The sequence below is a fragment of the Homo sapiens genome, chromosome 1, assembly GCF_000001405.40.
Source record: "Homo sapiens chromosome 1, GRCh38.p14 Primary Assembly".
NCBI classification, from domain to species: Eukaryota; Metazoa; Chordata; class Mammalia; order Primates; family Hominidae; genus Homo; species Homo sapiens.
The window spans coordinates 162650537-162676035 of NC_000001.11; the positions used below are offsets into that span (position 1 = coordinate 162650537).

A 25499-nucleotide genomic window follows, 5' to 3' on the forward strand; every position below is an offset into this window, starting at 1 on the left:
AGTGAACTAAGACTGCACCACTGCCCTCCAGCCTGGGCAACAGAGTGAGACTCCATCTCAAAAATAAATACATAAATAAATAAATAACTATGTGCTCCTGGTCACATGCAGCCCAGACTCCCAGGCTTTTCGACTCCCTCCTTCTTCCCTCCTGTGCTAGTCATTGGTCAATTCTCAATCCTCTCCACATTATTATTATTATTTTTTGAGACAGAGTCTTGCTCTGTTACCCTGGCTGTAGTGCAGTGGCTCGATCTCAGCTCACTGCAGCCTAAGCCTTCCAGGTTCAAGTAATTCTCATGTCTCAGCCTCCCAAGTAGCTGAGATTACAGTGGATGTGTGCCACCATGCCCAGCTAATTTTTGTATTTTTAGTAGAGACATGTTTTCATCATGTTGGCCAAGGTGGTCTTGAACTCCTGGCCTCAAGTGATCCACCTGCCTTGGCCTCCCAAAGTGCTGGGATTACAGGCATGAACCACCGCACCCAGCCCCTCTCCACATTATTATATGTCCACATTATTTATTTCCCTTTCCTGATGTCATTATTGTACATCAGGCTTTCATTGGTCATCCTGCCCCAGGTCTCTCCTCCAAAGCAACCCACATGCCAGGTTCAGCCTCACAGAGCTTCTCTGAGCCTGCCATCCCACTCTCCAAAGCCTTTCCCGGCTCTCTTGTGCTCACTCCTTGCTGGCATTTGGAGCCCTGCGTTTTCCCACCTCAATCATCTTCCAGCTTCCAGCTTTGTCTTCGATTACCTGTGTGTTCCTGTCCTCCCACCAACTATTTATTAATCTTCTTATCCCATAACTTGCCCATTCAAATTGTTCCCTTTTCTTAGACTTTTGTCTGCATTCTTTCTATCTGACAAAATCCTAGTGATATTTCAAGAGTCAGCTCAAATAATGGCTCCTCACTCCAACAAATCTTTAGGGAACACTCAACTGGCTTGATTTCTCCTTCTTTTAGCACCTTGTTCTTTCCTTTCTTACTACCTTACCAACCCAGACATATATATCTACTATATCTTGTAATATCCATTATATCTTTTTTGAGGCCAAGGAACATGTTTCCTTCATCTTTCTATCAACTATAGTACATATTACATACTAGGAACTCAGAAACGTGGTTGAACAAATTACTATTAAATTATTAAGCTATTAAAACAATAATCTATTGAAATAATGTAATAATCTTAATCTCCTAACAAAATACTAATAAAATTTAAGTAAAATAAATAATCTACAATAATCCAAAAATGAGTCGAATCTTGGTTTACTCTTTGGTGTTTTGTCATTCTACTTTCGTGTCAAGCTTAGAAATAATTTTCTGAAGAATTTTGATTTTGATTTTAGTTATAACTTTGCGTTAGTAAGACCATCAGCCTACGGTTAAGGATATTTGTCTCACCTGTGAAATCTCACTATCTCCATGAAACCGACTGGCTTCGCTACATCATGGGAAGGGTGTTATCTTTCCTAGTTGGAGCATCATATGATGATGTGGTTGAAAACATGCACTTTGGCATAAGACAGACTTGGTTTGGAATTCTGACTCTGCCCTTGTTGGGGCTGCTTGGGGAATTTAGTTAGCATCTCTAAATATTAGTTTGCTCATTTGTAAATGGAGGATGTAATTGCAGGTGCTGGTTCTACTCTTGGAAGGATTCAAAAATTGTCATGCTTACCCGAGGGGCTCCTCCAAACCTGGGCGGGGTTTTCTGTATGCCTTATGGACCTACAAATGCAAACCACACTGACCATGTAATTTTGGGGGCAGATTGGAAAGCTGAAACAGAAGTGCAGGGACTGTTGGTGCCCATCTTCCTGGCCTGGTGGGGAGGAATGTAGGAAAGCAGACTCGTGCTTCTCATCTTGAATCAGACAGACGACAGACACTCCAGGAAATTCCTTTTGTTTGGAAAAGAAAAATGCTCTGCCATCTTCTCTTACCCCAGTTTTCTACATTCCCAGACTTCCTAAAAGAGTAGACCACTGGGGTTCCCTGAAAAGCCAGCTAAGTCCAGCACATACGATCAGCCCCACAGCTCATTTTGGTTCACAGACAATAAGGAGAGAGGACTTAACAATTACTGAGTGCTGAGTACCCACTATGTGGTAGGAACATTTTGTACATAATTACAATTATGCATCCTCATAACTTTATCACATAAGTATCATCTCTATTTTACAAGTAGACACTAAGCAACCTCCCAAGATTGTACAGCTAGTAAATCTGAGTGAGGAAGTGAACTCAGATGGTCTACAAAACTTTTAGCATTTGTGGCCAGGCATGGTGGCTTACACCTCTAATCCCAGCACTTTGGGAGGCTGAGGTGGGAGGATTGCTTGAACTCAGGAGTTAGAGATCAGCCTGGGCTACAATGGCAAAACCTTGTCTGTACAAAAAATACAAAAGTTAGCTGGGCGTGGTGGCACACACCTGCAGTCCCAGCTACTTGGGAGGCTGAGGTAGGAGGATCACTTGAACCAAGAGGTGGAGGTTGCAGTGAGCCATGATCACGCCACTGCACTCCAGCCTGTGTGACAGAACAAGGCCCTGTCTTAAAAAACAAACAAGCAAACAAACAAACAAAGAAACTTTTAGCATTTGAGACCTTCAGTGTGATCAAAGCAAATTAGCTTTGTGAGGTGGGGTTTCCTTTAGCTTCTACGTCAGCAAAATTGTGAACCAACAGGATTAACCTTTTGCCGTCTTAGTACTGCAGGGAACTAGCTTTCAGAAAATTGTTTGGGGGCCGGGCATGGTGGCTTGTGCCTGTAATCCCAGCACTTTGGGAGGCCAAGGTGAGTGGATTGCCTGAGGTCAGGAGTTTGAGACCAGCCTGGGCAACATGTCGAAACCCTGTCTCTACTAAAAATATAAAAACTAGCCAGGCATGGTGGCGAGTGCCTGTAATCCCAGGTACTTAGGAAGCTGAGGCATGAGAATCGCTTGAACCCGAGAGGCGGAGGTTGCAGTGGCTGAGATCATGGATCGTGCCACTGCACTCCAGCCTGGATGATAGAATGAGACTCTGTCTCAAAAAAAAAAAAATACTGTTTGGGGACATTTGGGTCCTATTTTCTTCCCTGATGCTGATGTGATGCTGATGATAGTGAGTGTTTCAAGAACCAGGAGAGGCTGGTTGTTGTAAACATTCCTATAAACGTTGGCTCAGAGATTGTTAATGTAAGTTTTTCTGGAGCAGTGAGGTAAGCCCCAAGTAGAAAAGGGCAGAAGTATAGTAAAATTTGGTTGTTTTGTCAACTTTGTAAGACTTCAGCTGCATACCTTGTTAGGAAACTAGAAGCCGGAGGAAAGTTGTGCTGAGATGTGTAGCATTTGTTCTTGCTTTGTGTGGCCATTTTATTCCCATTAAGTACTGTATCCTTCACTAAAGAAATGGGCCATTCAGCAGCCCGCCTGAACACTGTGGCACTGTATATTGTTATAGAGAGTTATATCCATTCAGAGGGACACAACAGATCAGAGGAAAGGAAAGAGGTAACCATGTATGCAGACGTGGAACTGTCCCCAACATGTATAATAGACAAGCCAAGGTGAAATGTATAGCATACTAATATTCAACTTTTTAAATTTAAAAAACTATGCATCTCAAGGCATGGTGGCTCACATCTATAATCCCAGCACTTTGTGAGGCCGAGGTGGGAGGATCGCTTGATTGCCTGAAGCCAGGAGTTGGAGACCAGCTTGGGCAACATAGCAAGACCTGGTCTCTACAAAAAATACAAAAATTAGCTGGGCATGGTGGTGTGTGCCTGTAGTCCTAGCTACTTAAAAGGCCGAGGCAAAAGGATCACTTGAGCCTGGGGGTTCAAGGCTGTAGTGAGCTATGATCACTCCACTGCACTCCAGCCTGGGCAACAAAGCAACACCCTGTCTAAAGAATACAACAGCAAACAAACAAACAAAAAACCAAAAACCCTCAAACACTATAAATCCATAGTTTTTATATATGTGTAAACTATTTCTAGAAAATTACTCAAGTAACTGATAATTAGTTATATCTGAAGGAGGGTGATGGTGCGGTGGAAATGAGACTCACTTTTCATCGTGTGGAGCAGTGATTCCCAGTGTGTTCTGGGATTCTGGGGAGTCCTTGAGACCCTTTCAGGAGATCCATAGATCAAAATTATTTTAATAATAATACTAAGTTGTTTTTATTCTCATTCTCTCACGAGTGTACGGTGGAGTTTTCCAGAGGCTCAGTGACATGTGCCATTGCAGCACATTGAATCCAGAAGCAGATACGATAATCCAACTGTGTCTGGTCAAGCCAAATATTTAAGAGATTTTAAAAAATGTAAAATGATGTCATTCTTCTCATGTTGAAGATAAAGTTATTTTTATAACAATTTTGAAGATAAAGTTATTTTTATAACAATTATTATTCAACAAAATTACTATTATTTAATGAGTTAATACACAATAAATTTCAAATTCTCAGTTTTAATTTCTTAACTGGGCAAGTATCAGTTTAGGTATAAACAACATCCCTCCGAGATCCTCTGGGATACATCCAATTCCTTTAGTGCCTGGTGTGCTTGGAAGGTTTCTGTTGCACGGCGCTGGACAGGAGTGCCAAAGAGGAAAGAAATGTGAATGGAACCAAAGTCTATAATAAAATATTGCTTTCTCTTTTTCCCAGCCTCCATCAAGGGAGACCTGCAAGTTGCCTGGGGTTCAGTGCTCTAGAAAGTTCCAAGGTTTGTGGCTTGAATTATTCTAAAGAAGCTGAAATAATTGAAGAGAAGCAGAGGCCAGCTGTTTTTGAGGATCCTGCTCCACAGAGAATGCTCTGCACCCGTTGATGTAAGTAGGTCCAGTCACTGAGGCTCTGTTACCACATGAGATTGGGAGTGGTGTGGCTCACATTGAATCCCCCCACTTATCCTGCCTGGTGTCACAGGGAAAGTTGAACACTTGGTTTCTGTGCCTAGAGCTGCTATCAGATGAGAAGACAATGTATTTGACTATATAGGAAATCTGTTGTGGACTGTCAATTAACTCATTTTCACTTCCGTTGATTTGGTTGTGACCAGCCCTAGATTAGAGGGCAGTTTTAGAGTGTCCTGGCCTAGAATGTCTTCCTCAGTTTTGAGTAAGCCAGGGTACCTGGCCTCTTTCTGGGACTTCTCTGCCCTTACAGGACCCACTGGAATCTGTAGGGTTCCAGCGTCAATCTGTGTTTTCTAATATTACAATTTGTTTTTATTTTTTATTTTTAACAATTATTTTATAAGTTGTTTTCTTCTGGGAATAATTTGAGGTGATTTAGAGTAAAACAATACTTAATAGAAGCACTACAACCAGGATAATAGTACAAGAGTCCTGTAATTATATTTTGGGGGAATTAAATGTAAGAAAACCTAGCCCAGGGATACTGATTGCAGATTCATACAGCGCTTAGCTGGGACTCAAGGCAAAAAGAGAAGCATGCTATATTGCAGAACTTTTATTAGGAAACCATTTCCACATATCAAGGTGGTCTGCTGCAGGTGAATTTTGGTCTGAATGGGACTTCTCAGTTCATCCTTTGGCAGGCTAAAATCCCACTGAGGATCTAGAACTGTAGCAATTTCTAGATTGTGTCTGAGACCTTCCCAGCCTGGAGCTCCATATCTCCTTCATGCCTGTGCCTCTAGCATCTAGCACAGGGTCTGACACATGGAGGATGCTCAGCGAGAGCCCTCAGATTCAACTTAGGCTTTACTGTATTCTGCACAGCTTCTGGAATGAGTGCTGAATGAATGAATGAGTGAGTAAATAATGTGAATGATTATTGGGATAAGGGTGGGGCTAAAGTGGTATTTTCTTACATTCCCCAGAAGATTTCTTCTCCCTGTCAAGATGCTTTTTGGATTATCTCTTCCTTTCTGTTTATTATCTAGGGAATGCCTCGCTGCTCTTTAGCTTCCTGGTGGTAATAATTCACTTCATAGTTTAATGTCTTAGGTTTCCTTCTTCCCACAGATTGCCTTCAAATTTGCCTTTTCTTCCTCCCTCCCTTTCTTCCTTCCTCCCTCCTTTCCTTCCTCTTTTCCTTCCTTATGATAGACTCTTGGTATGGGGGAGTTAAGAGGTCTTAACTTGAGCCTTCACAGTGTATATTTTAGAATGAATAATTCATTGCTATGCTTCACCACCAACCAGAAATTATTACAGGGTTTCTCTATTACATGAGATTTTTCAAACATTATTTATCTATGATTTGTTCCGCTTTACCTTTCAGAAACTATCACTGTGGTCTTTTCTTCCCCTGCCACTGGAGTTTTTTTTTTTTTTTTATTTTTTTTGTTAACAGGGTTTTGCTCTGTCACCCAGGCTGGAGAGTAGCAGTGTAATCTTGTGCAATCTTGGCTCACTGCAACCTCTGCCTCCAGGCTCAAATTATCCTCCCACCTCAGCCTCCCAAGTAGCTGGAAATACAGGCACACGCCACCACTTTGTATTTTTTGTGGAGATGAGGGTCTCACTATGTTGTCCAGGCTGGTCTTGAACTCCTGAGCTCAAGCAATCCTACCACCGTGCCCTCCTAAAGTGCTGGGATTACAGGCGTGAGCCACCATGCCTGGGCACCAATCTTAAACAATGATTTCCATAAATTACTATTAGAATATTCAAGGCATATGCTATATATAGCCTTGTCCTGTGAAGCCTGATTTTGGTGCACTCCTCCACCCCCACTGTCATATTATCCCTGGAACTATCTCAAACACCTTGGCTCCTCCAGGAAGAGTCCTTCTGGTCACCAATTCAGGCTCATTCTCTTTCTGGGAACGATCAGACTGAGTTTTTCAATCTGTTTAGAGATTTACTAAGTTTTAGTTTCTTGTGTTTCTTATTAATAGGGAGACCAAATAATTCAGCATCCAATCTGGAGAACTAATGAGGACAGGAGAAGTTATTAATAGGTAATCTGGAACATAAGGCATACTCTGGATGGGTAGCCACCTGCTTTTCAAAGATCTTGCCTCTTTAATGGGTACTGAGAGCAGAAGGGTAACAACAGCCTTTGGAGATTGAACTCCTGAATTCTGTTCAGTTGTCTGGGGCTAGGGAACTCTGACACAGATATTGTAGCACTGAGTATTTCTAACAAGCTGTGGGGGGCCTGTCCCCTAGTGGATGTTAGAGTTCCCAGAGGGAGAAGTCAAGACCACTGCAGCACCGACGGCCCCGTGCTTATGAGATCCAGTGGTGGTACCCCTAGTCAGTCTTCCTCCACCCTCTCCTTCCTCTTTTCCCTTCTCCTCCCCTTCTTCCCTTCCCCTCCCCACTCCCCAGTCTGCTCCCTTCTCTTTTTGATCCTTATTCTCTCCCTCTCCCTTCCAACGCCCCCACCTCGGCTCCCTCTTGTTTTGTTTTCTCTTTCCATCGCCTTCTCTTTCTCCATTTTCTTCTCTCCCTTTGCCATTCACAGTGTCTTCCTTTCCTTTTCTCTTCTAAAATGGCTCTTCCAAAATCACTGGAGGGCAGCTCAAAAGAGCAACTCTGCCAATATTAATTTCTCCTTGAAAGGGAAAAGCCTGCATTTCCAATTATGACTTAGTCTTCATTAGTTAGAAACTGTCTTTTTTCCACAGCAAGTGGCCTAGGAATGGTGTGTTTCTCGCAAGTCTCTGGTCGGAGGTCCTGGTTTTATGTATTCTGCTGTGCACGCTTTCTAGGGCATGAAGACAGGGCAGGCTGGGCCATTGGAGGTGGGGGTGGCAGTGAGGATGGCGGTCTGGCTGTGACAGGAACACACCTGGAAATGTCTGCTTGTCACAGAATGGATTGCAGCTGAAGTAAACAAAACTCTGTGATCATGTTGCTGCATAAACCTCGATGTCTGAAATTTGGGACGATGGCTGTGCCAGGATTATTTTAGAAAGGCAAGCTCAGGATCAGTGTTCAACTAACCAGAGAATCTACAGCTGCTGTGGATGTCCCTCCACCAGAGAGAGAGAGAGCCTAGCAGAAACTGAGGAGAGAAGCTCTTCAGGCCGCTCAATGGCTCACGTCTGTAGTCCCAGCACTTTGGGAGGCCGAGGAGGAAGGATCACTTGAGCCAGGTTGGAGAGCAGCTTGGGCAACGTGGCAAGACCTTGTCTGTACAAAAAAAAAAAAAAAAAATGCCAGGTATGATGGGGCCTGCCTGTCGTTCCAGCTACTGGGGAGGCTGAGGCTGAAGAATGGTTTGAGCCTGGGAGGTTGAGGCATGGTAAGCCCTGTTCACATCATTGCACTCCAGCCTGGGTGACAGAATGAGACCCTGTCTCAAAAAATAAATAAATAAATAAATAAAAGTTCTTCAAAGAGGAATGGAGGGGAGGAACCAAGGGCTGACATGGACAATTCTAGGTAAACAGGGCTCCAGAAACATTCTGAAAAGCATAAGCTGAGAGCAGACTTCAGTAACATGAAGAAAGAACTGGGGAGGAGGGGAGCGGTCTAGAGAATAACATGCTCTTATTTGTTCATGGGATTCATAAACTGTGGACAATATTTTTATTTACCAAAAAGGTAACAAAGTTTATTGAGCACCTGTGATGTGTAAGGGACTCTGGAAGTATTTTGAAGGGATACAAATATAAATAAGAGATAACTCCAGCCTTGGTTTCTCATGGGCTAATAGGAAAGGAAAGGAATGAAAAAGAGAATTACACTCAAGGGAGGTAAGCATGAGTCAGGACCTGACAAATGGTTGAAGGAAGGAAAGGACACTTGTAGCTGGGATGTTCAAGGAACACATGCTTTGAATATGGAGGGTGTGGAGCTTGACCTAAGCCTTGGGGGCTAGGAAGGAATTTGATATGCAGAAGGAAAGATGTGGGTCATTATCCTTGGAGCTGACCTAGGCAGTGAGGACCCAGAGTGATCTGGCGAACACAGACTGTGCTGGGCATGTGGAGTGGAGGGGAGGTAGGAAACGGCTGTCTACTTGGGGCAGAGGATTGGGTTGAGGAGTGGTGGAAGATAATACTGGAAAAGAGGACACTTGCCAGAATGTGGAAAGCCCTGACTGTTGGCTGGGCTAAGACATCTGGACAGTCTGGACACCATTTTAGGGATTCAGCACGTGCGTTTTACGTGCTCTAGCAGGGAAGGATGACTTTACTGTTAGAGATGCTCATTTCTGATGTCCCTCTCGCTGAGTGTGAGTGCAGTCCTGAATAAGATTAAAGGTGTCATAACTATAAACCATTTGGAAAATGTAAAAATATATATGCATGAGACACTTGGAGCAAGGATTTTCTAAGGTCTCAATTTCTTGTTTTTGCTTTGATTGTTATAGCTTATAAGAGTAGATTTAAGGGTTAGCCACAAACTCTATTACTGTCAGAGCAGATTTGGGCTGCTAGGTAGAATCTTATTTTCACTGTTTCAATTCTCATTTCTTTGTAATTTTTTGTATTATACTACATATTTTAGCCCCAAATTGTGGGCTGCAGGAACAACGTTAAGTATTTCTTGCTGGCTGTGTTCACTGAATTGCTTCCTGAGCCTGAACTTGCTCAAACTTCCTGTTTTTTGGGCACAGAACTCCTGGTTTCTCCATTTATGATGGATGAGAGGGGTTTGGAGTCTCTCTTCTAGACTTTCATAGCATGTTTCAGGATTTCTCACTGATATCTAATTGTCTTATAAGAGACATTAAATTTTTTTCACACTCAAAAATCCATGATCCCCTCTAGGTAAGGTCTGAGTCTCTGTCAAACATTTTCGCTTTTGTGTAACATTTAGCACAGTATTTATCAGGCATTATTTTGTTTGGGGGTAGAGGAGGTAGGCGGCGGTGGGCAGTTGGGACCCCCCGTACTTATGTTCTGCTCCAATATTGTCTTGTAGAAAATGGTCTAAAATAGATCTTTACTATCTGAAATATCATCTAGTGAGAGCATTGGCATCATCAAAGAGCTTGTTAAAAATGCAGGATCTAGGACCTCAGACTAAATCAGAATCTGTAATTTGATTGGCCTTTGAGACTTGCTGGTCTCCAGATGTAATGTATACACATCACCTAGGGATCATGTTAAATGCAGGTTCTGACACTCAATTACTTAGGTAATGATCAAACAACCAGATCTTGAAGTTTTCTAACATCAAAGCAGCAACTTCCTTTCTAGAGTTGTCACCGGACACCTTCCCTCCTGAGAGTGACACTTCTGCACAGAACAGATGGTTTATGACAGGAGTTGGAAAACTGTGGCCTGCTGGTGGCATCCAGCCTGCCACCTCTTTTTGCAAAGAAAGTTTTATTAGATCACAGTGACGCTCATGTATTTACATATTGTCTGTGGCTTCTTTTGTGCTGTACTGACTGAGTTGAATAGTTGTAAAGGAGACTGCATGACACACAAAGCCAAAAGTATTTACTATCTGGGACTTTATAGAAAACAGTTTGCTGACCCTGGCTTATGTGAGTGACTCTAAATATTTCCTTAAAGAATCAAATAGCTATACTCTCTTGCCCCAGTGGCAAACTTCGCAAGCCCATCTGAATCCATGGCTATTCATAGAGAAGCTGAACCATAAACCGTCATTCCCAGGCAACCCACAAAGGGTCTTGAGCCTAAAATTGGTCTGGATAATGGTACCACAGAGCCTGTGACTTTCCAAAATCCATTTAATATGTCCCTCCTCAAAGAAATGGTTATAATTTTATATAATTTTATTGAGCTGACTCCCTCCTCCACAAATTGATTTCATTAATTGTTCAACATAAGTCTGACTTTCCCCAAGAATTGGAATCAAAAGGAAATTCTGAGTAAAAATATATCTGGGACCAAGGAAATAAAAAGACTTGTACAAGTTGGTTATAATACACATTTTACTCCTAAAAAGGTAGCGTTGGTTTTGGCCCCACTCTGGCCTATTCACTGGGCAGACTGTATGGGCTTGGAGTCCTTCTTTTAATTCCCTTGGAGAATCCCACCACCTGTCTCTTATTTGGGTTTTTGAATTGTGAAATGATGGCACACACAAGCTCCAAGAATAGCTGCGTGTGTACACCAAGCATACAGAGACAGAAGGCAGAGACTTAGGCCAAGGATCAGGAAATACAGAAGAGAAGCTGGCATGGAGGCATCTGCTCCACAAACACAGTGAAGCCGGAGGTTGTAGGAGGAGGGAGGTGGGACCCGTGTAATCACTGGAGGATGTGGGCACTCTGCTCTGCTCTGCAAGTCTTGGAGATCTTGGTTTTCTTTCCAGAACCAAATTTCAGAGGAGGTGGGTGTAGGAGAATTGAGATTCTTTTTCCTCATCCAGAGTTATCTGGGGCCAAAGAGGTTTAGGGTGAGATTCTGTGGGAATCTTTGCTGTAGCTCCAGAAGCTTTATTCTTACTTAGTTCCTTTTCCCTTTGTCTGCATAGTCCAGGACACTAAAAGGGTTTGTGAAGAGTCCGGGTAGACATAAGTGGAGAGTCTTCTCCTTAATTCTAGAGTCTATCTTGACTTCAACCAATTAAAGATTGTAGGAGTGAATTAGAGCCCCTTATGTTAAACCTTGTTTCTTGGAAGCCCTCCTGGAATTCCCTAAGATGCAGAGCTGATTAGCTTAGCTGGTCAGAATGTGAAGGTTTTAAAGCCAAAGTTATTATTTGGGCTGATATTTTAGACATTCTCTTCATTGGAAGAAGTACAATGTATTCATTCATTCATTCATTCACTCATTCATTCATTCACTCAGTGAATATCCATTGAAAACCTATTGTGTAACAGGATGCAGGAAAAACCTGAACTGGAGAGTCAGACACATCTGAGTTCAAATTCTAGTTTCTTGATCTGTGAGCTAACTAACACCTCATTCAGCTTTCCATCCAGGTGACATAACCACCCCAGCTTCCTTCCCTGAATCTGCAGGTTAGGTTGGACATTTACTTCTCTGCTTTTGCAGCAACTTCTACACCGTCTGTTCTCATACCACATTATATGGAAATTATCCATTTGCAGTCTGTCTCTCTCTCCAGATTGTAAAGTCATTGATAGAAAAGAGCTTCATTTCACATACTTTTTTACCCTTAGTGCCTGACATATATTAGAAATTAGACATATGTTTATTGCACTGAAAAGAACCTAATTGTGTGGCTTAATTTCCCTAAAGCATGTGTTTCTCATCTGTAAAATGAAGGTGATAAAAACATGCCTTGTGAGTTTTTTGTGAAGATCAAATCAGATAATGTTTGAATGAGTGTTTTATAAATATGAAGTGCTTGCAAATACTAATAGTTGTTCTAATATCTGGATTGATTGCGATTCAGTAGAAAACAAGCAGAAGAGAATCAAGAAAGTATGTGGAGGTGTCCTAGTCCACTTTTTCTAAACTGAATAACTGAACGAGGGGGATCTGGAGACTTCAGCTTCTGAGGCACAGTTTGGGTGTGTGGGGTTGACACGGGACAGAGGACCCTTTCCAGCAAGCTCGATGTCTCTGCCATTAGATTATATACTCATAACAGTGGGGATATGTTTTATTAATTTCATTGCCCCTTTATTCACCCTAAGCATAACTAAGAAAGTGAATATGTAATAATTGGATTTCAATGGGCATTGCAAGGCCAAAGTCTCCTGCCCCCCAAATCTCCCAGTATCCCTGGCCTGTATGTATCTTTTCTTGAGAACCTGAATAATGGAACCATTAGATTGAAAACATAGATTGGGGAGAAGAGAGTGAGTTGAATTTGAAAAATGTTGAGTGTGACATCTGGCAGTCAAATATGCAGGGCTGACTCATTTCACTTTTCATGTGTCTGTTTTAGCTCACAAACTAGACATAGAGCTCATTGTACAGATTCCATAGTGCTTAATGCACTGGCTACCCCTTAAAAAACCTATAGAGCTTGCTGGAGGGGGTCCCCTATCTCATGTCAACTCAATAAATAAATATGTATGGATTTGTTGCAAAATATTGGATTTTCTTTTCCATGTAAGTAACAAAGAACTGCTGCAGATATTTGAGCAGAGTTGTAAAATGATATGAATTTTGCTGTGAGAAAACTTGATCTTGCTGTAATGTATGAAAAAGACTAGAAGGGAAAGAAGTTGAGGGTGGAGAGTCTTGTTAGGAGGGCCAGGATAAGAGCAGGTGGGCGGTGAAGGAGGCTGCGGCAGAACCATGCCAAGCAGAATGGAGTGGAGGGGACTTGACTACACAAGAGGCTGGTGACTCAGCTTTCTGCCTAGTATTAGTCCTAGAGAAGTCTCCCTGCTCTGGGAAGACCGGTGTCTAGCCTCATGTGGCTTCGGAACAAAAGCCAGTGATTGCATCCAAGGGAAGATAATGAGAAACACACAGGCCGTGAAAATCAGGAAAGCACCACTAATCTTTTTGTTGCAAAACTTTACTTTTCAAAGTCCTGGGGAAGGGTGCAGAAGCCTCAGCACGTGGACTTGAGCCCTGTACTCGGAAATGCAAAATGGAAACCCCCTAATAGATCACAGAACTGAAAATATCCAAGAGTCTGAGAGGCTGGGGGAGGACAGGAGTGAGAAAAGGAAGGGGGCTGGAGTACTGATCAGAAGATAGGAGAAAGCAACAGTGCAAAATGCGGGGAAGGGCTGAGTAGACATTCAATTTAATCTGGACTTTTATTTTGCTACAAACTAATTTTATGAAGACTTTTTTTGCCCAAATATTAAATATTTATTAATTAAAGATATTAAAACAGGAAAAACTGCTTTCATTCAATAAAAACTCTAGTAATTCTTCCTAACTCCAGAATTGTATGTATATGTTTTACCTATTAAATAATCAGAAATAGAAACAAATTAGACAAGATACGTGAATAACCTTAAAAATTTTCCATAATATTTGACTTAGGAACTTTAGTTTTATGAATGTACTCTAAGGAATACCCTGAAAAGGACAAAATCTATACACAAAGATTATACACAAATTTATTATAGAATTATGTACTAAAAAACCCTAAATGACCAGCCTTGAGTATATGGTTAAATATATAAGTTATAAGCCTTTGGGTTTTGAGAGTTTTAGATAACACAAGAAGGTATTTATGATATTATATTAAATCAAGATAAAAGTCACAATGTAATATAAAGATATACAATCAATGATGTAAAAGTACATAGAAGAAAACTCTAATGAAAATATGCCAAATTGTTAACTATGATGACTTTTAGGTTACGGAATTATGGGACCATTTTTGTTTCCTTATGCAATTGAAAAGTCATAAATGAGCATGCATCACTTTTTCATCAGAAAAATAAATGAGTTACATATTTTTTTAAAGGGAAGATATTGTAAAGGAATATTTGTTGACAGAATGCATTAAAAAACCTAGGTAATTTCCTTATTTCCCTGGGATTCTGAGAATTTTTTTACTCTTGGGAATATCTTTCCTTGCTCTTAGTTATTTTCATATGTTAGTCTTGTTCCTGGGGATAAAAAATGGTAAGTTTGCTATTTGAGCTCTGCTCGAACATATGGAGTAGTTCTCTCTTACATATACAGAATTGGTTTGACATTCAAGGTCTTTCAGAGTCAAATCCCAATTGATCTTCCCAATTTCACTTCCCTTAGTTTCCTACGTATATTTTCTACACAAATCAAAAACCTTTTCAGACTTCCTATTTCTTGTACATGTCCATAACCTCCCCTTTCTGAAACTCTACTTGTTCCTGGGGACAGAATGTTCACAGAGCATGCGTTAAACATCATAAAGTGGATCGGGAGCCTCTTTTAACATAAGGCTGTGTGATTTTGACAAGGCAGTTAGCTCACCCTCTAGATCTCAGATGGAACACCTGTAAAACAAGGGACTATGTTGTAGATGGTTGCCAACATTCCTTGCAGTGCTACAGCTGAGTGAACCTTGTTCCCTCATGGCCCTAGGTGTGCTCATTCATCTGCCTGCACCTTGTCTCAGGTTCCCACTGCATCTTAAGTGGCCCCTGCCCACCCCACTGTCAAATTTGACCCTTCCTAGCTCATGTACCATTTCCTTTATAATGCCGTCCTCAGTGATTCTGATTAACAGGGACTTGCATGTATGATTTTTTTTTTTTTTTTGCCACTCATACAGGCTGCCTTTTATCAAAACTATGGCACATGTCAATGATATAACAGATAATATCATTTGAATAAAAAGTCAACTCCATGGGGAGGAAAAAAACCTACTTAAGTGAGCTTTAGAGATAAAGGTGAACACTTCTCTAAATCCTTTGTTTATGGTCTGTTAATCAATAAAGTCCAATCTGTGATCCCCAGATACATAAGAGGAGAAGGATATGTAGACTATTTATGATATTTCTGAAAATCCTAAGAAAAATCACACACAGGCCCACAGTAAGTCTATGTTTCTTTATTTTGAGTCAGAGGATTTCTTTTTTCCATTTTTAACCAGTATAAATTGGTTTAAACTTCATCTCTTGAATAACTCCTAACATGACCAGAGCCCTTTTCTTCCTTCAAATTTCCACAAATGCATTGCTCCCCTTTTTTCTTTTCACCACCCATATGTCCATGTTGGACAAAAACCATGAAGGAAGGAGGTTGAGAAACTGTGTACCAAAACGCCAAGAGCATCTTTGCCATGTTCCAGCACAAAGGGCACTGTTAGAAGGAGGTGATCAGAGTCATCTTCTGACTCAACCTCACAAGAGGAGTCAGGTTAGATGAACAGTTCCCAACTATTTACTCTCCTCTCTCTCTCATTCTCTCTCTCGCATTCTTTTTCCTTCTGTTTTTTATTAGCAGCACAAAAGATTTTGAAGTGCTTAAGGGCAGAAAGCTTGCCTTGTTCATCTATGCAGCTCTTGCTGGGACCAAGTATGGTGCTAAACACACGGTAGACATTCAGTAAGTATTTGTGGAATGAATGAATGAGCAAATGAAGGACAGGTGTGGCTTCGATGGCAATGGGTCAGTGTGAACTCCGGAAAGAGTATGCAGAGTTATAGTCAAAGTGGATGATGGATCATTGCTCTGACTTACTAGTTATGTAATCTTGAGTAAACCCCTTTATCACTGTGGGATTAATTTCCCCAGCTGTTGAAAAAATGTGTGTGGGGGAAAGGGGGAGGGTTAGTGATTAAAAATGTGTTCCATAAGGAGCATGTATGTAAAATCATCTGGCACATGGTTGCAGCTGAATAGCTGGCATTTATGTAGCACTTTATTTTTTCTGCATTTTTTAAAAATTAAAAACCTGAAAATTGTTAAGTTGTACTAACCTCAAATCTCACCACTTAAGAATTATATAAAATAAGAAGTAAAATTTCTCTTCCCAGCCAACTTTTCTAATTCCCCAGAGATAACTACTTTTCTTAACATTTAAGTTTGATGTTTATCCTTCTTGACATTTTTCTAAAGTTTCATATATATATATTTTTTATAATTATTTAATATATATGTAAACTCATGAATATATATATGCAAACTCATAAATATATATATATATATCTCCATGCAACTTTGGATGGAGATATATATACACACATATCATTTTCAAAATGGAACTATTCATATATGTCTATCTATCTATCTATCTATCAATCATCTATCTATCTCCAAGTCAATTATTTTTGAATGATGGCAGAATCATTTGTTGTTTGAATATACCATATTTTGCTGCCAGTCACCCAGTTCCAGTGTTTTGTGATTACAAACAATAATGCAAGGGTCTTCCTTGTACATCTATATCTGTAAGCTTTTGTACAGTACTTACTTTAGTAATAAGGCACTTGAACACTTATTATTCTCTTTACTCATAACCACCACAAGAAGAAAGGACAGAAATTGTTATTCTGTGTTACAGATGAAGAAAAAGGAGAGCTAAAGGGGGCAACTGGCTTGGCCAGAGACCCACACAGATAGACTATGGCAGACCCCGTGTTTCCCAGTGGCTTGAATTTTTGTCCAGAGCTCTTTTTGTCACACTGCAATAAAGCACAAGTCAACAGGAAACCTTTACAACCAGGCAGAGAAGCTTGGATCAGGGAGCAGGCAGTCACACTAAATTGTAGAAAAGAACAAACACACACACACAAACAAGAAGCTCGAGGCCAAACACATTTAAAGGATATTATTTGGAAGAAATGCACTGGTGGTGAGTGAGGGACCAGCATAAGAAGAGCTGTCCTTTAACTAGTTACCATGTTTTATGCAATGTTCTCAATATGATATCCAAATGATTAGGATGGCTTAGATTGCATAAATGAGGCAGGAGAATGACAAAGGACACCCCCACAACCCCAACAATGACACTACCCCTCTCCCTCAAGGGAAGTGTCTAGGGAAGGCCAGTCAGCATCTGGTTAGGCTTGGCCTTAATTGTCATCTTCCTCAATTATCTGCAGGAAATATTAGCTGTTATTAAAATTTGCAGATGCAGTCAATTGTCAGAGTCACTGGAGACCAAGAATTATTACTCAGAGCATTGGAGAGAGGCTGGAAAGAAAAAGAACAATTCAGCCTGGAAAAATGTAAACTAATGGATAAAGTGAGGTAGGGGGAGTGGGGGAAGAATTTAGAGGGATAAGGCCAGTAGTAGGGTGAGGCAGTGAAGCACTCCCCTGGAGTACAAACTTTAAGGGGATGCCAAAAACTCAGCTATCAAGATAAATAAAATTTTAATTCAATATTGAAAAAAATCAAGTTGGCAAATGACAGCCTGTGGGCCAGCAGCCTGTTTGTAAATACAATTTTATTGGAAAGCCACTGGAAGTAAAGGTACTGTGGCAGGGGAGATCCAGGCTAATTCTTTGATGTGAAAACCCTGGTTAGGCTTGTGAATGTTAGACACATTAGACCTTAGCTTGTGATTGATGGGAAAAATATTTCTGAAGAAAAGGAATAATGGATCTGACTGCTTTTATGGGTTTCCTGGGGTTACTGTAACAAGTGATCACAAACTGGGTGGCTTAGGACAACAGATATTGATTGTCTCACAGTTCTGGAGGCTAGAAGTCCAAGATCAAGGTGTCAGCAGGGCCATATTCCCTCTGAAGGTTCTAGAGAAGCATCTTTCTTTGACATCTAATTTTTGATGGCTCTTGCAATCACTCCAATCTCTGCCTTGATGTTTACATACTCTTCATTGTGTATGTCTCTCTGTCTTTGTGTCCGTCTCTCTGTCTTTGTGTCCACATCTTTTTCTCCTTTCCCTTAGATCCTAGTCATTGGGTGACATCCCAATCCAGATAACCTCATTTTAACTTGGTAACATCTGCAAAGACCCTAGTTTCAAATAAGATTACATTCCTAAGATTACCTATGAATATAACCTTAACTCTTTGGTTCCTTATTTGGAAATAGGGTCTTTCTTGGACACGATTCAACCCACCACACTGTTAAAGATATCTTTCTAGGACACAATTCAACCCACCATGCTATTAAATAGGTAGGGATGTGGAGAGATTTGACTTAGGCGCAGCAGAAACATTATCCATTCACAGAAATCTGGCAGCGGAGTCAGGGGCAGACTCCTGACATGATTTAAATACCTAAGAAAATATTTAAGGAAAAGTACTTTAGTTCCTTTGGGGCGCAAATATTATAACCTTTGCTCATGTCACATGGTGACAAATACATGCAGGATTTTTAAGGGTAGTTCTGATTTCAAACATGCAAACAATAGTGACTGGAAATATTTTTACTAAATTTTATATTCCTTTTGTTACTATTTTATTCTTCTCAATGTAAGCAACTTATTAAATTATTACTATAACCGAATATAACAACTTTTAGATATTTTTCACAAAAATTCACCAACCGGGGAAAAACGTTGTTTGTAAAATGCAGTATTCTGATTTTTAATTTATGAAATATGGCTGTTATGCTTCTGAAGCCTGTTCAAAGGCTATGAAACAATGGAGATGATCGAATACCATTAGAATTTTAAGTAAGTTGAAATGTAAATGGGAAACAAATCTATTTTCTCCCATTTTCCAAACACATCACAGTCAAGTCCAAAAATTTGAATGTTACATGGCTTTTTAGTGAACACTTTTGTTATAAACATGCGTGTGTAGGTATACTTAATTGTATCAGCAACAATAACATTAGTTATTTTAATTATTGTATCACCAATCCTAATCACTAATCAATAAATGTATACTCATTAATTAATAATTCAATAATAATGGCTAATATTTATGAAGTGCTTATGTGCTAGACAGAAGAATTGATCCCTTTATGTGAATTATTTAATTTATGAATACAGTAATTCTTCCTTAGAATTGGTATTCTGTTTATTTGGGCTTGAAATGTTCTACATATTATTTTTCCTGCTTTTGGTCAGGAGTCACCAGCCCATTTAAAGAGAGACAGCTGTATCTTTCTGTAACTGGGCTATTTTCTCTATGAGTGCATTAATGTTAACAGAGAAGCATGGCCAGCAAGGGCTGCTAGCACAAAGTGAAGGGCCCTGCTGTGATGAACAGAGAAATTGGGAACTTTATCATTGCTGCTATAGACATTATCAACTAATAACACGTTTTTAAAATTCCTGAAAAGAGTTTGCTTTCTAAAGGTTAAAAAGGTTTAAGTTCTCCCTGTAATTTTGTTTATATAGATGATTTGCTTTGTAAACATTTGTTTTGTTTGTTTGTTTGTTTTTGAGACAGAGTCTTGCTCTGTCGCCCAGGCTGGAGTGCAGTGGCACGATCTCAGCTCACTGCGACCTCTGCCTCCTGGGTTCAAGCAATTCTCCTGTCTCAGCCTCCCCAGTAGCTGGGATTACAGGCATGCGCCACCATGCCTGGCTAATTTTTGTATTTTTAGTAGAGACGCTTCACCATGTTGGCCAGGCTGGTCTGGAACTCCTGACCTCGTGATCTGCCTGCCTTGGCCTCCCAAGGTACTGGGATTACAGGCGTGAGCCATTGTGCCTGGCACAGCTCTCCATTTTAAGGCTTTGCAATTGATTGAATCAGGCTCGTTCAGGTTACCTAGGATGATCTTCCTCACGTAAAGTCAACCCATGATGGATTCTAATCGGTCTACAGAACTTCTTCACAGCAACACCTAGATCAGTGTTTCAGTAACTGGGGTCTACAGCCTAGCCAAGCTGACAGATCAGAAGAGCCATGACAACAATGATAAAAGAAACTGTTGCCCTCTAGTTTCCTCCTGGGCATTAATAATTTAGCTAATATAAACCCAATACTTTGGATACGATTGACTGAATTCAGCTTTGCTGATGCCTCTGATTTCAGTTGCTTTAACCAAATGCAAACCCCTAGTGCTTCTGTTGTCTGTTGATACCCAGAGGCTCATGTGATCTGGAAGGGTAAGTGGCTTCTCTCTGATTTGCCAGAAGAAAGTGGTTATGTTAGCTGAGGAGCCAGAACACTAATTTCAGTGATTTGACTCTGGTACAAGTGGTGGGAGGCCCGAGGGTGGGATGCTGCTTTTTCCTTTGGCCCTGGTAAACATTTTATGCTTGTTATGGTGGTTGAAATGCTGTATTTAACCTTTTCTTCATGTGCCAGGAGGTTCACAGTAAATGAGGGGTGTGGTCTGTGAAGGGAAAAGTGGCTGTGGCTTGGCCTCTTTGTACCCTGTCAGCACACATACACGCATGGTCTGTAACATGTGAACCTATCACGTGGGAACTCATTACTGAGCTGTGAGGGCTGCCCCTGAGGAGCTGGGGGCAGTGGTCGGGAGAGGAGAAGGTCGTGGGGCACAGTAGAAATGGCACCGGACTGGGAATGAGTTCCTACTGCCAACTTCTCATCAGCTCAGTTCCTACAGTCCTCTACTTACTCCTTCGTTGCCCAGGACATTTATTTAATGCCAGGCTAAGCACAAGGCTTCCAGGATTCAGCAGTGAACAAGACAGATGCTACCCTTGCCCTTTTGGAGCTGACTGTTGAGCAATTTTAATAAATAGCAATGATCATATCATTAGCATTTCCCGAGGGTTACCATGTCCCAAATGTGTGAGTTATGATAGAGGAAGATGGGGTTATTCTAGGTGAAGGCCGAGAAGCTTCTGGGAGGCAGTGACTAATAACTACTGCCTTTTTTACTTTGGAGTCATGTCCTTTCTGTGACTCCCCTTTCCTTCTCCTCTGTGTTCTCTCCCTTGGCCTTGTCAGGCTGCCCCTGGCTTTGGTTCTCTCTTCCTAGTCTCCTTTCTAATTAGCCTTTCTAGCCCAATAAATTAAGCTCTTGTCTGGAATCTCTAGCTCCCTGATGGACACCTCCTCGTGAAAGCCCTCAGTATCTCAAAGACACAACATCTGTGAAGAACTCAACTCTTCCATTGTATTCTTCCTTCCCTTTCCTGTCTCTGATAATGTTATCACAATTCGTTTTGTCATTTAGGTCAAAAACATAGTCATCTTTGACCTACCTTCCCTATCATACCTACCAGTCACTCAGCCCTACCCTGTCTATTCCCATGATGTCTCTCATCTCTCCCTCCATTTGTTTGTCACTCTCAATGGTCAGACTGTCTTGGTCACTTTTCTGGGCAATTGCTATAGTTTAATGCTTGCAGTTTTCCCTCAACTTTAGTTCATCCTCTTTAGAGCTACCAGAGCACATACTCTTGATACATCTTCTTGCGTCACTCTGTTGCTCAAAAGCCTTCAGTGGACCACTGCTGGGCTCTGCAGCCAGGTGCTTGTGTTCTAAACCTGGCTCTGTCACTTACCAGCTTGGTAACTGGAAAATTATTAACCATTCTGTGCTTCTATTATTTCATCTATAAAACAATTGTGTCTGTCTCATAGAGTTGTGATGGGGATTAAATGAGTCAACATGTAAGTAGTGCTTATAAAAAAAAGTCTGACATAATTTTAGCATTCCGTCCAGGTAGATGCTCTGGCTCCTGGTCCTCCACATTTTCCCTCTTGTGCCTTGACTTTTTGCGTTTCTAACTTTTCCCTGTTATATTTCTGAATAGTTTTTTGCAAAGTAGTGCACAAATTAGTGCCTGGATCTACACAAACTACATCATACATGATGCTCTTGTCTTTCTTCATATTCTTTTAAAGACTATATGTTATATATTTAAACACATATGCATATTTATACTAAACTAAGTATATATATGTATACACATATATACATATAGATTCATGTATACTTTATTGTTTCTTCATTAATTGACCAAATGTTTTGATGGTGCCTCTAAATAAGTAGTACTTAGGCAAATCTCCACTCATAGTATTGTGGTAAAAGATTAACTTTTGAAAACTGCCCAGAGAACAGCTTTCTATCACATTAATCATGAGATACAGTTTTGTTTTTTCCAATGTTCTGGCGGCCATTCTCATGAGGATGGACTGTGCTGACTGATCTCAGTGAAAGTTACCAGTGGGCATGTTCTCGGGGCCTCTCTGTCCCCATGAAGCATCCCCACTCAGAGACATGGAAAACCTGTGAGATGAGCTCATACAAATGATTTCTGGGATGAAAATAGCAATGTGAGATAGTGCCAGGAACTTCAGGTTCACAGAGTATAATTAAGATTTTTCCTGAATCATTGCACACTGTAATTTCATCACATCATTATGTACGTTCTTTAATTATGGGCTCTAATTGCCCATTTTAGTTCTGTAATTAGACATAAAGACATTAATTTTGTAGGTATAACAATCAGCTCAAATGTACTTCCAAATTCTTTCCCCTACCTTTCAAGAAAAATTAATACATCATTAAAAAGTTTGTGCACAGAAGAGCCTCTTAGAGGGCAGCTTTTGGGAGCCAGTTGGTGTTCTCAAAGGTGGGGCCCCAGTTCAGAAAGGGTATGGGAACATCACCCTCTTATATTCCCCATAAACTGTGTTGCTTCATGTCAGATAGACCCTACTGGGTCCAGGGCAGGGAAGAGCTCCATTAATTCACATAGGGCCGATTTCTCTTAATCGTAAAATTTTAAGGTGACATCAATGCTTAATGAGTCATGGGAGAGGAATGAACTAATGTTAGGGCAACTCTGGCTTTTTATTTCTCTTGTGTCCTATTAAAAGATGAGAAGATGAAGCATTTTAGGCTCATGGGGTTTGTATTTTTCATTTGTGCATGGGTAGCTGATTATCATCTGTCATTATGTGCGTGTGTGTGTGTGTATGTGTGTGTGTGTGAGAGAGAGAGAGAGAGAGAGAGAGAGAGAGAGAGAGACAGCAAGAGAGAGCCAGAATCTGTTTTTTAAGAACTCTCAATGATTCAGATCTCCATTTTTTCCCTTCACCTACAGCACTTTAGTTAAAACAAAACAAAACAAAACAAAACAAAAAAACCGACGAGTTCCAGCATTTCCCCCCATGGACCATGCTATGTCCATTTCAGCCGACACATTTTACATGTGTATCTATTTGCCTCCACTTACAAATCCAAGGAAAAAAAGGCAGTGTGGTAGAGTAGAAAGAGCCTTAGTAAGGGTCCTGGCCCCTTTTTCTTCCCTTTTTACACATACTCTCTCTCTAGGTAATCTCTCTATTCTCGTCCTTAAAGGCCGTTTATATGCTTTTGTCCCTCCAATTTATATCTCTAGCTCAGGCCTCATCTCTGAGCTCCAGATTAGATAACAATCAGAATGCTTATTTCTACTTGGATGATTTACAGATAATTTAAGCTTGCTGTGTTCAAAGCTGGGTTTACTTTCCTCCAAATGTATTGCTTTTCTATTCTTCCCAAACTCAATAAATGGCAAAACCATCCATTCAAGTACTCAAGCTGAGTCATCCTTGATTATTCTTTCGACATATGAGCCATCAGCAAGGCTTGTTTCACCCTCCAGAACCTATCTTCAATCTGTCTGTTTCCCTCTCCCTCAATTCAGGCTGCAATCCCAATGCAGAGTGTTCAGTAAAGCAAAAGGGGTGGTCTGCTCTCACCAAAAGCAATTTGCATGCTCTTAATTCACGGATGGATTACCTAGCACTTAACACAGACCCAGATATATTTGGTACTCAGTAATATACACTGAAGAATGAATGAGTGAGTTAATGAATTAATGAATGAATAACAGAAACTCTACCTCCTAGGACTTAATAATACAGAGCAGGATTAACCTGCTTTCATAAGTAATCAGTGAACCTGGTAAAGTGTGACATTTATCTTTTGGTGAAAGCAGCTCACCCCTTTTGCTTTACTGTTTCACCAGCAATCTCTGTTTTATTTTTACCTGTTCTTTTGGACACACAATTTAGTCAGAAATTTGCACCTGAGTCTTACTTCTGCCACCTGCTAGTATAAAGATCAACTGGTGCAGAGCACTATACAGAGATTATTTATTGTTTGCTACAATGTTGGATATAGAGTTTCCTCTCTAGGACCTCTTTAACTGGGAGGGATAAAAATGGCACAACTAAATTTTCATGATTTGGATAAGAAGAGAAACATTGGGTGGGCATGGTGGCTCATGCCTGTAATCCCAGCACTTTGAGGGGCTGAGGCGGGTGGATCACCTGAGGTCAGGAATTTGAGACCAGCCTGGCCAACATAGGGAAACCCTGTCTCTACTAAAAGTACAAAAAAAAACTAGCCGGGCATGGTGGTGGGCACCTGTAATTTCAACTACTAGGGAGCCTGAGGCAGGAGAATGCTTGGACTCGGGAGGTGGAGGTTGCAGTGAGTCAAGATCATGCTATTGCGTTCCAGCCTGGCCAACAAGAGTGAAACTCCATCTCAAAAAAAAAAAGTAGAGGAGAAACATTGCTTCATTCAGAAAGTGCTTCCTAAGAGATTCCCATGGTCCAGGGATGATGCTGGATGGTGGAGATGTAGAATAATGTAGAGATTACAGGGTAGCAGGGATGGGGATGCACTTGTAAGCCAATGAGTAGAAGAAAGGGGTTCTGGCGGTGGCACAGCAGCAACCACAGGACGAAAGCAACTGCAGAGGACATGTGCTCAATTCTGTGAGGGGACGATGGCGGGACATGGAAGGGTCCTGATCATGTCGATGTTGATGGCAAGTCTACCAGTCAAAAGGAACAGGTGAGCAAGGGCCTGTAGCCTGGAGGTGGCTTGGGGCTTTCAAGGAACCACTTTGTTAGACCTGCTAAAGCATGTGTTTCAAAGAGAATGTACCCAGCTCGAAGACTTGCACATTGTAGGCACTTAGCTAATATCTGTTTAATAAATGGATAAGTGAATATAAGTGGCAGAAAGACAGCTGAGTTGCTGGGACAGGTGAGATCATGGAAGGCCTTGTGTATCATGCTAGGATCAGTAATGGGAAGTAGAGAAGTGGTCAATGAAGTTTTATTTAAGCAGAAAAGAGACCCTATTGGGTTGAGTTTTAGAAAAATCCCTGTGGCTGCAGAAAAGAGGATGGTTTGGTGGGAATGAGACTGAAGTCATGAGCACAGACAGGAAGGGTAACTGAACATTTTGAGAGAGCTGAAAGTGTAGACAGGAAGGGTGTTCAAAGATTGTTGGAGTTCAGAGAGAAGTCCTCGGCCTGGCCTAGCAGTGTAGACAGCCAAAGACAGACAAGTAGTGGAATGTCACATTCTAGTAACTGATTGAAATGTGTGTGTGTTTATAGGCAAGTGAGTTGAAA

The 25499-nt window shown here is 41.0% G+C and overlaps 1 protein-coding gene across 8 annotated transcripts in view; it reads left to right on the forward strand.

Moving 5' to 3' along the window:
- The window catches only part of DDR2 (discoidin domain receptor tyrosine kinase 2), a 156543-nt gene that overhangs the window by 19674 nt on the left and 111370 nt on the right, over nt 1-25499 (forward strand). For all 8 annotated transcript variants that reach the window (NM_001354983.2, XM_047421554.1, XM_011509587.3 and 5 more), the window contains one exon: nt 4675-4838. The gene's annotated coding sequence lies outside the window, so the exon portion shown is untranslated. The remainder of the gene's footprint in view (nt 1-4674; nt 4839-25499) is intronic.